The 10,511-nt window shown below is 40.9% G+C and overlaps 1 protein-coding gene across 12 annotated transcripts in view, besides 7 other annotated features; it reads left to right on the forward strand.

The window, feature by feature from the left end:
• Positions 2,570 to 3,769: an enhancer, noted in NCBI's record as "CDK7 strongly-dependent group 2 enhancer chr3:41236485-41237684 (GRCh37/hg19 assembly coordinates)". NCBI's record gives its function as "activates an origin of replication core promoter dependent on BRD2, BRD4, P300/CBP, MED14 and CDK7 cofactors, with strong dependence on CDK7, by STARR-seq in HCT116 cells {active_cell/tissue: HCT116}" and the evidence as "EXISTENCE:reporter gene assay evidence [ECO:0000049][PMID:35650434]".
• Positions 6,482 to 6,941: a silencer, noted in NCBI's record as "silent region_14237". NCBI's record gives its function as "represses an Ori minimal core promoter by ATAC-STARR-seq in GM12878 lymphoblastoid cells {active_cell/tissue: GM12878}" and the evidence as "EXISTENCE:reporter gene assay evidence [ECO:0000049][PMID:35858748]".
• Positions 6,482 to 7,730: a biological region, named in NCBI's record as "H3K27ac-H3K4me1 hESC enhancer GRCh37_chr3:41240699-41241645".
• Positions 6,784 to 7,730: an enhancer, noted in NCBI's record as "H3K27ac-H3K4me1 hESC enhancer chr3:41240699-41241645 (GRCh37/hg19 assembly coordinates)". NCBI's record gives its function as "activates a minimal SCP1, AML or CMV promoter by ChIP-STARR-seq in naive H9 embryonic stem cells {active_cell/tissue: H9 hESC(naive)}" and the evidence as "EXISTENCE:reporter gene assay evidence [ECO:0000049][PMID:30033119]".
• Positions 7,072 to 7,131: an enhancer, noted in NCBI's record as "active region_19724". NCBI's record gives its function as "activates an Ori minimal core promoter by ATAC-STARR-seq in GM12878 lymphoblastoid cells {active_cell/tissue: GM12878}" and the evidence as "EXISTENCE:reporter gene assay evidence [ECO:0000049][PMID:35858748]".
• The window catches only part of CTNNB1 (catenin beta 1), a 40,939-nt gene continuing 37,508 nt past the window's right edge, over positions 7,081 to 10,511 (forward strand). For 5 of the 12 annotated variants that reach the window (NM_001330729.2, NM_001904.4, NM_001098209.2 and 2 more), the window contains exon 1: positions 7,081 to 7,246. The gene's annotated coding sequence lies outside the window, so the exon portion shown is untranslated. The other 7 variants (NM_001438873.1, NM_001438872.1, NM_001438871.1 and 4 more) reach the window with 3 other exon arrangements.
• Positions 7,372 to 7,491: a silencer, noted in NCBI's record as "silent region_14238". NCBI's record gives its function as "represses an Ori minimal core promoter by ATAC-STARR-seq in GM12878 lymphoblastoid cells {active_cell/tissue: GM12878}" and the evidence as "EXISTENCE:reporter gene assay evidence [ECO:0000049][PMID:35858748]".
• Positions 7,842 to 7,951: an enhancer, noted in NCBI's record as "active region_19725". NCBI's record gives its function as "activates an Ori minimal core promoter by ATAC-STARR-seq in GM12878 lymphoblastoid cells {active_cell/tissue: GM12878}" and the evidence as "EXISTENCE:reporter gene assay evidence [ECO:0000049][PMID:35858748]".

Genomic DNA, 10,511 nt, shown 5'->3' on the forward strand with positions numbered 1-10,511 from the left:
CAAGCTTCACTGATATTTAATGTATATAATTGGCATCTGTACATGTATATAATTTTAGTAAATATGTGTCTGGGGTGCACATACAAAATTATTTTACTAAGAATATTGTACAATTAAAAATCTTTAGAAATGTTTGTGTCAGAAGATAAGCAGCTCATAACCATCATAAGCAGTATGATGTGATCATTTAAAACAAGACAAAATTTGAATTACCTTTGTTCTATTAGTTAGCTTTCCCCTTATGTAACAAACCACCCCAAAACAAATTGGCTTACAACAACTACCCTTTTTTAAATTGTTCAGAATCGGCACAATGTCACTTGTACTGACAATCTACGAATAAGGGTTCTGAAAGGTAAGTCATATGAAGAAGGGTTGAAAGAACTGGGATAGGTTTGCTATGAAAAAAGAACATTAATAAGAAAAAGGAATATGTGTGTTAGACATTTACTATCTTTATTTCTTACAGCTTAGTTTCTAATACAATTTATAGTGGCCAGAAAAATATTCTGAATGGACAATCCCTTGAAGCAACAGAAATTAAAGTACTTTTTTCTTTTCCCAAATCGATTTTATAATTAAAGAACTATATGATTTCAGCAAGTTCCATTTGGTAGAATGACACAGTCAGCTAACATGAAAATTACTAGAAATTCCCAGTGGAGATGTATATATTTCATACTTATCCACTTTCCTCATTTTTATCAAGGAATAGGCTATTTCTTTCTCTTCTTTTTAAAAGAAAATCAATATGACCTTTGCTTCTTTTTCTTTTCCCCCAACTCAAATTCTACAATTGTAAATTCAAAACATGAACAGATTTGAAAACAGATTGTGAAGAAAAAGCTTTAGTACAAACAAAAGAAAGATGGAGTAAAATGCATGTCCATCGCTGCATGAGAAATGGTGTGACAAACGTGCGGTACCTCTCCACAGAGAATGGTAATGACTGAGAGCCTTGCTTGTCCACCTAAAAAGAGGATGTGAAATAAAATATATTTTAAAGAAAATCCACGCAAATGCAGTGTCCCTTCTGAGTATAGCTGGAACAGTGCTCTGTTTGAATAATTTTATACCTTCGCTTAGAACTAAAATTTCTGCAAAGTTATACCAAAATGCTGTTAAAATATATACATTGTATAAGCAACAATTGTATTATAAGATTTAGCATTAAATTTTAAGATCATCCAATATAATAAAATTTAATAACCAATAAACTTTACAATTTGGCCATGAGAAAATTTATTTCTTTTGCTTTTTAACAAACAAAAAATTAAGACTGCAATACAAACAAAAATGTCATTTCTTTGGGCAGCATTGTTAGGAGAGAAATCAGAAATGACTACGTCCTTACCCTAAGAATTTTTTAGACAAGTAGTTAAAAAAAAATTCAATCCGTATGTTCTTCCACTTTTCTAGGCCCAAAGTTATTTTTTACTGAGTGGTACAAAATAGAAAACGGACATTTTATTCTGGCACTGTGACCTTCTCTAGGCCCTGCCCATGTTACTCTGATACAACATATTTCTGGCACACACTTGTAATATAACCAGCAACCACTCTCCTTAAACACTGAACTTGACAGCAGGTGAAAGGGAAAAAATTTTCTTTTGCATCAATAAAGAGTGCTACACTATAAACACACTTCCTTCTTTGATAAGATAGATGATTTTTTAAAATTACTAATTCAGTTAGGTAATTGCTCAACACTTATTTTTTTCCAGCTATAAACATGGAAACATGTAATTTTTGTTCTGAAACCAATGAAGCTCATATTATAAACTACTTATAATTTTTAAAACGAAATCTATAGCTGATCCATATGTTTTCCAACTAAGACACAGTATAAAACCTCTATGTTTTAAAATGCCATAACCTCCATACATACCCACACATACATATACACATCGATGCAACTCTGCACTTACCCATTGATGACTTAACCTTTTAGCATGGATTGGTGAGGGGCAGGGGGAAAAGAACTGGGGAGAATTTTTTTTCAATAGGCATATTTACTAAACAGGACATTTTACTCAGTATTTTGTTTTAGTGTGTGGGGGGAATCATAATTGTATTTAGACTTTATATGGCATGGGTTACTCAGTTCACAGCAGAAGCACCTGCAGCAAATTAATTTGTTGTAGCACATTAATTATCTCATAGCTTCTATTTAGGCTGCAGCTGTTGCTATTATGTTAATAATATTTTTTATTACCACTGTATACAACAGGTTATGGCAATAATAGAAATATCTCTTTCTCTCTCTCTCTTTTTGGCTTCCCCCTCTTCCCCGTTGTTTCCATTTTTCTGTCAGAAGGGGAGAATGAAAGAAATTTAGGCAAATTAAGCCCCAAAGCGCACTATAATTTTCTATTTCTGAACTGATTTGTAAGAGAATGGGTAACTGAAATTAGCAAAGAATCACCCCACACAAAGATGGCGCGTGCAGAATTTGTGAAAGCGAAAAAGAAGACGAAGGAGAAGCAAAGAGGGACGGAATACTGCAGTGCTAGGGTGGTGAGTGTTTGGATGGGGGCGGGGAAAATGCTGCAGTTTTCATGAAATAATAAGGTGGGGAAAAAAAGGCATACAAAGAGTAGGTTTTTCATTGTTTGTAAAATATAAACACAGATGAATTCTGTCTTTGGTTTGTTCATGCTTTTCAGTCTGCACAGCAGGGATGTTCTTAAGAAGTTGCCCTCTGCGAAATTTCACTAAATGGGAACCGTGGACCCTGCATGATGGGATTATAATCACACCAGCCACTCCTTTTACATAATTTTTTGTTTAAGATCCAGTAAGACTCCCTGTTTTTAATACATATAAAGCAACAGACATGTATATGTCGATAAACTGAGGGTTTGCGTCCCTATTGCCTGGTGCAAGCTACAGCAAAAAACCGGTGATATCACATCTACAAATCTCAATGGATTCAAAAACAATATGAAAATTTTTAGCTGACAAGAACATGTCTGCTGCCTGCAGTCCCTGCAATAGCTCACCATGTTGCCTACTAACCAAAAGATCAAAAATTATCGATTTCATGGCGCTGCGAGGTCTGGAAAGAAAAGCTACTTTAAAATTTGCATTGTTTAAGAAATGACTTAAAAGAAAAGAATCATTTTTTTTTCTGAATACTTTGGAAGGTGAAAATGGCTTGTTTTAATCTTATCCATGATTTACTATAATTCTATTATTTTTAGCAGCTGGAGTCCAGAAATGATTTTTTCGATGAATTTAGGATTTTGCCGCAGTATACATCTGCAGTCCCAGAATCCTCCGGTAAGTTAATCCTTCTTGCGATGGGAAACGCCTTTAACCTTCTTGTGAATGAAATATCTGCAACCATTTTGAAATTTTTAATGGGGTGTGTGTGTGTGTGCACGTGCGTGTGTTGCGGGTGTGTGTCTCCGAAACATGATTTCTTAGAAATGCAGCGGTACTTGTCTGAGTTCTTAGAAACATTGAGAAACATATATACCTTTATGTTCTTTGAATATCATGGACGATGACTCCATTGCTTCTCCTTCATACTTTGTATGGTAGCCATTAAAATGTACTTCCTTAGTCTGGCAAACCAATGAAGGCCTCGAGTACACATAACTCCAAGCATGTAGGGTGTTCCTGACATAACTGAAGTGACCAGGCCATAGCAACCACCATGGCCATTGCCTCCCGCCACCTTCACCGCCCCTCCCTCGCTCTGCAGTATACATCAGCTGCAAGCTTTCCACAGTGGCTTTCCGCCGAACTTGCCCAGTGGGTTCCTAGATTACTTCTGTGTGCGAGAATAGCCAACCATGTAGTCTGACAAGAGGTATTTACAACTACTTAGCCTGTTCAGCTGGAAAGAAATCAAAAGATAACACTGAACCCTGAGATGATGTATTACAAATCAAAAGTCCCAATCCATAAATAGCCCACCTGATGAACTGCTAAATGAAAAGCTGATCCTGATTGTTGTCCAGTGTTTTTACATTGTCCTAAGAAATATTTTTAACAAGCCTTCTTGGAGAGTTGGGATTGTTTGTTTTTAAATGCATGGAATATTATTCTTACCTTTCTGCTGGGAAGGGAGCCTTCCGAGGGGATTCGGATGTAGAGTCCAAGTGAGACCACACCCTACTTTCACAGCTTTTTTTCTACCGTTTCTGCTTCTTTTTAAATAGGGTGGATTAACAGTTACAATTTTACATTAATTTAAGAGACTTAATCAAATGGAGCCAGTCATCCGTTTCCCTCTCTCTAAGGGAAGCTCATTGTCTTAGATGCTCAATAAATGTTTAATTAATGGATTTGATAGAGTTAAGTATCCTAAAAGTGAACGAACCTTCTTTACAATACTGGCATATTTCTGTGATTCATATTTCTGTCTGAAGTGTGAAATAATCTTGGCTTTTTTTTTTTTTTTTCCTCTCTTAAAGGTAATCAAAAGCCTCTGTTTTAGCGAAGGGATGCCTTACATTCAGGTTCAGTCTACCACTGCTTTATATGCCAGTGGCCTGATAGCGTGAAAAGAAATATCTTCTCTTTTAAACTAGCTGGAGACACTTTTGTTTCTAAGAACACAGCCTAAAAATTAGAACCACTTGTCTGTCGCCATTTTATAAAATTAATTTATGTCAAACCCGGGGTGACTGGCTCTAGAAGGAAAAGACATAAAACAGATAACCAACTGTTTTTATGAAATGTATTGTCCAAGGTCAATTCAAAAAAATTATTTAACAAAATTACTTATTTTACCAAACTCATGTATCTTGATAATGTATTTTTCTTTGATTTAATGATAGTGTTTGTCTTCATTTCACAGAAGTTATTCATCTCTTATTTTTGGTGAGACAACTAGAACAATTTCTGCTTTATGAAACATGCAAATAAAAATTAGGAGCAATGTTAAATTTAACTAACTTGGTTTAATGCTAGTCAACCAGTAATTCTTCAGTACACTTAATATGATGGGAAAAACAGCATGCTGCATTGTTGCAAATTTTACATTTTCTTTAATAAAATGTATTTGTTTACGGTGTCAGTAGGGATTAAAAATCATAATTCTAAATTTAAAGTATTTAAATTATAGAAAAATGATTCCATTATTTTGGTAATGGAACAGAGAAATACAAATATAGAAACGTTTTTATCCTTTAGATCTTCTAATGGTGCAGATATTTCTTAACCAATTTCAAGAGTGCCTTATTCAAAAACAAAAAACCTGCACATAGAAAAAGCAAACATGTTTTTTTAAAAAAAGCCCTGTAAAAGTGGTTAATCTGTCGTCTGATTTTCAATGTATGACTTTAATCAATTGCATATTCCTTAATTCTGCAAATGACAATTAAAATTAGGAATCAGTACCTGAAAACGCCATTTATACTTTTGAGTTTATATTAGAAACACGGTTTTGATGAAATACCTTTTTCGGTTCAATCTTTTTGAATTGTGACCACAACCAATAGCTACACTTAGATTCTACAGAATTAGTAGGAAAGATACAAATGAGAAGGTCTTTCTAGACAATGGATCTCACTGAACATCATCTTAGTGTGTAGACTTTTTCCACTGCAGTGGCCCACATGTGCTATGGTGACAGACGGCAGTTGGCATTACCACTTATATAGTAAAATATCTTTAAGACAAAAATAAAAGTTATTTAAAGAATACGCTGGCCCTGAAACATGAGCTGTGCCTTAAACTACATATCCTACCTCCATGAGTGAATGAATAAGTGGGTTTTCCGCCTGCATCTATGTGTTAAGACCTATTGTTTGCTTGTATTAATTGTAGTCCTGGGATAAAAGCACAGAGGTAACTTTCACTGCTGCTTTTTGTACTCTCTCCAATGTTTTGGAGGAAAAATAAGCACAAACAATAGCCTAGAGAAACTGAATCGATCATACTTGTTGCAGCTTCGACAAACGTCAATTTTGCTGCATTAGAATGGGAAACATTTTTCAGTCTATTGAAATGAATTACAAACGTTTTTAAATAGAAAATTAGTTAAAAAATTGGAGGCTGCTTAATCGATAGCTTTCTCTATAAACATACTTGGATTTCACAAATAAGTAATACCGTAAAAATCTTCTTCTCCAAAGAAAAATCCCCACAAATAAATCTATTGATACCTAGTGACAAGTGGAACCAGATAAAAATGGAATCTATAAGAATTAACCTAATTGACAGCGCTCTGGAGCTAATCCATTTCCATTAGTTATTTGTTCACAGTAGGTACTCCTAAGGACTTGTTGAATTGCGGGCTTGGCGCCCGTTCTACGGAGAGTTCACAGCCTTCGTGAGTGGGGACAGAAGGCGGCTCGGCCCGGTGATTCAGGTCGAAATTCAAGCTGAACAGCCTGCTGAGAGGTGGGATCCACCATCCGGACAGTGGGGGGCTTTGGGGGTGCTGTGAGACTGGGCTGCGACCCAGGTCCAGCAGGGAGTGTGCGGCACAGACCACAAGGTCGGCGAGGCCCCCTAACCCGCGCCCGGCCGGGAACCCGCAGACCAGCGACGGGGCAGCTGCGGGGCCAGGAGCGCCCCAAGACGGGCGGGCGCTGAACCCGAGCCCCTGCCGCCGCCCTGGCCCCGAACTTCCGCCCTCCCAGGACCTGTCCCGGCCGCCCCGAGCGGTACTCGAAGGCCGGGGCCGAGATGCCACCTTCCGCAGGCCGCGGGAAAGGCGCGCCGAGTCCTGCAGCTGCTCTCCCGGTTCGGGAAACGCGCGGGGCGGGGGCGTCGGGCTTGGGACAGGGGAGGATACCAGGGCCACCTTCCCCAACCCAGGCCGCGGGGGCCCGGCCTCCCCGATGCAGACCACAGCGCCCTCACGGGCTGCCCTCAGGCCGCGCAGCGGGCAGCCGCCAGCCGTCACCCCGGGGAGCGTCCGTGGGGTGCCCAGGCACCCCACCCCGGCCCGGGGCGCTCAGACGGCAGCAGACTGCTGGGCGGCGCGGGGACTACTTTCCACCGCCCCCTCGCGCCCCGCCCCTTGTCCTCGCGCGGCGGAACGCTCCGCGCTGCGCCGGTGGCGGCAGGATACAGCGGCTTCTGCGCGACTTATAAGAGCTCCTTGTGCGGCGCCATTTTAAGCCTCTCGGTCTGTGGCAGCAGCGTTGGCCCGGCCCCGGGAGCGGAGAGCGAGGGGAGGCGGAGACGGAGGAAGGTCTGAGGAGCAGCTTCAGTCCCCGCCGAGCCGCCACCGCAGGTCGAGGACGGTCGGACTCCCGCGGCGGGAGGAGCCTGTTCCCCTGAGGTGCTTGGGCGCTCCTTTCCTTATCCTTCCGGGGCTGCTCCCGCTTCCTCTCGGAGCCAAACTTCGTAGCAGGCGCGCGGTCCGGGCGGCGGGCTGGGCGCAGCCGGGAGGCCTGGGGTTGGGAGCGGGGAGCTCAGGTGGGGGACGGTGAGGGTGGGCCGCGCCCGGGGCGCGGAGGGCGGCGGCCGGGCCCGGGTTCCGGTCGCGCTGCCTCTCTGGGGCCCTGGGGGCATCGCTTGCGGGGAGGGGGCGCCGCGGGGGCGCGTACAGGAGCCCGGATGGCAGGCGGGGTGGGGGTGGGGGTGGGGGTCTGTGGTTTCCGTCCGGGGCTCTGGCCTTGGCCGAGTTTGGGGGAGGGACCCGGTGCCTCGGGATGCGCCGGGCCCTGGGTGGGGGGCGGGGTGGGGACGGGGGGCTCCGCCTTCTCAGCTCTTGCGGCGAGTTGGGGTTCGGGCGCTGAGGCAGAGACGCCACCCTAAGTCCCATCAGTCCTGGGGATCGGACCAGTGGACTTTCTCTTAAGATTTCCTCTTTCATTCTTAAGAATAGAAGTGTTATTATTTTTTTTAATGCCCTGGCTATGTGAGTTTGAATCGAAGCAACTTTAAACCTTAGAGCAACTAAACTCTAAGTGCAGCGGGTGCGATGCGTCAGTAGGGTGAGCACATAAAAAATCCATGTCTTGCACCTGTATTTTAGCGTACTATGCAGGTGAGTGAAAGCAGTGGATAATGTACTGGGAGTCTTATGGATTTATGGTAGTGGGTATGAGACCCTGGTGAAATAAGGGGGTGGAGGAAGGCGAAGGTGATGGCTTACTGTTTCTTACCAAGTGAACTGCAGGATTCAGCCTCTGACTCAGACCGCTTCGAGAATTTTGTTCGTAGAAATAATTTAAATTTATTCAAATAGTTTGATGGCAGCTAAAATTGAATTATAGAGCACGTTTTCTTTTCAGCGGAGTGAATTTTTCCTTCGCTCCAAAGCTGGCCAAATGGAATTCAAGCATTGCAACTTCTTTCAGTGTTTTGTCTGGAGAGAGGACTTTGAACCGAGACTTTTCGAAGTTAAGTTCCTATAGCCTGCTTCTGAATCTGCCAAGCTTGAAAGCTTTGGCAGTTGGGTGTATGTAGTTGTTGCCTTCGTTCTCTTCCCTTTTGGAGGGAGCGTTGTCTCCTACTTTGTATCTTCCAGACATCTGTGGTCTTCCCCCCACCCCTCGAGTTTGTGAGTGGTGAATGAAGAAAGACTAGGCTGCTGGTATGCAGAGGTCGGCAAAAGGAAATCGAGGAGTGGTTTTAGTGAAATGAGAGCTTTGTATCATGAATAATGGTGGCTTAGGCTAGACATCAACTTGAAGAGACGGCAGCATTTCCTTTCATAAAGTCTAGGCTAATGTTTTTCAGATCGCTAAGTTGTAGTTTGTCTGGAATTTAGGAAGCCATTTCAGTATTTGTCACTTGGTGAACGAACATTCAATACCTTCAGATGTCTTCGTGTTGACTTGTATTCATCCTAAGAAATAGTAAATATAGTCTCAAGTGTTATTTATGTTATACTGCTGGTTTATTCTCTGCTTAAATTATTGACATAAATTTCTACTTTGGAGGCTTTTCGTTTGAACTAAGGCTGTGCGGAATTTATTTTACTTTTATATTTAAATCTTTGAAAAATCTCTGATTAAAAAAAAAGTACCCTTAAAGGTTTGAGGATGTCCTTTCACACCAGACAAAATTTGGTTAATTTGCGCCCAATATTCATTACTTTGACCTAACCTTTGTTCTGAAGGCCGTGTACAAGGACAAGGCCCTGAGATTATTGCAACAGTAACTTGAAAAACTTTCAGAAGTCTATTCTGTAGGATTAAAGGAATGCTGAGACTATTCAAGTTTGAAGTCCTGGGGGTGGGGAAAAATAAAAAACCTGTGCTAGAAAGCTTAGTATAGCATGTAACTTTAGAGTCCTGTGGAGTCCTGAGTCTCCCACAGACCAGAACAGTCATTTAAAAGTTTTCAGGAAAAACCAACTTAAAAAAAAATAAGGTGGCTAATTAAAAAAAAATGAAGCATTTAACAGTGTTCAGGTTTCAGAGTATGGAAGAGGGGTTTTTTAAACTGTTATCTGATTATTTCTTTTACCAACATGATATAGAAAAGTGTATTTCCAGTATTAAAATTTATCAGACTGAGCTTACTGTTCCTGTTAATGACTGGAATAAAAATTGGCATAAATGAGGGTCTGTATGCTTGTTTTAATAACACCACCACCAAGATAGAAAACGAGGAGGCAAGTTTCTCCAAGGGTATTTTGAAATGTGTTAGCAAAACTATTGCAGATACTCGTTTTTGTTATAGGGTGAGGTGGGGAGAGGCGCATGCTAAGTATTGTTGAAACTAGGGATGTAGAGAATTAAAAGTTTGAATATAATTATTTTGTAGTTATAAGTAGCAGTGAAATTAAATCTCCTGCAATAGACTATAGAAGTATATTTAGCCAAATGAAACTTCAGTGTTATTGAAATGAAATAATACATCTGTCCTGTTACAAGATTATTTTTATTTCTCTTGTGGTTTCCTAGCTTCTGATAATCAATAATTGTAGATGAGTAGGTGGTAAGTTTTAAGTTTGTACTTTGAGCTTAGTCGGAAGCATGCTTGACTGCCAACCCGGGGCACAAAGGATGAAGGCTTTTAGAACTGGACAAACTTCTAACAAAAGGTATTTGCAACTCTTTTGTAGTGTGTCATGTTGATTTGTGACATTGTTTTTGAAAATATGTGTTAACTTAGTTTTCTTGTAGCCCTCTTTTTATTGGAACTGTGGTATCTATTGTTGAAACTGCTTGACTGAGAACATTTTTATACCATAAAAGTAAATAGTAAACATAGCCCAGGAGCGGCTTCTGGTTTGTCCATCGTATGTAGCCATTGCCTCCTTGTACTCTCATTGAGAAGATACTGATTTGCAGATTCAGTTGTCCTTCTCTAACAGACTATTTATGTAATATTGCAGTTGTGATTGTGATAGGTAAGTGGACCAGTCGGTTAAAATAAATACTCAGGTTTCACAAAAGGAAAATAATATGATTTGTGTTGATCTAAATGAGTATAGGAGTTAACTCCTATAGTTTTTCATCACTTAAACTCAGGGGAAAGTTCTTTATTTCCTCTGTTTACTTAAGAATGCTGCTTTTGTGTTTCATGCAAGACTGAGCTTGACTCAGTTTGAAACCTAGGCTCATCTGTTGAGGCCTGAACCCTGCTGT

The sequence above is a fragment of the Homo sapiens genome, chromosome 3 (genome assembly GCF_000001405.40).
Source record: "Homo sapiens chromosome 3, GRCh38.p14 Primary Assembly".
NCBI classification, from domain to species: domain Eukaryota; kingdom Metazoa; phylum Chordata; class Mammalia; order Primates; family Hominidae; genus Homo; species Homo sapiens.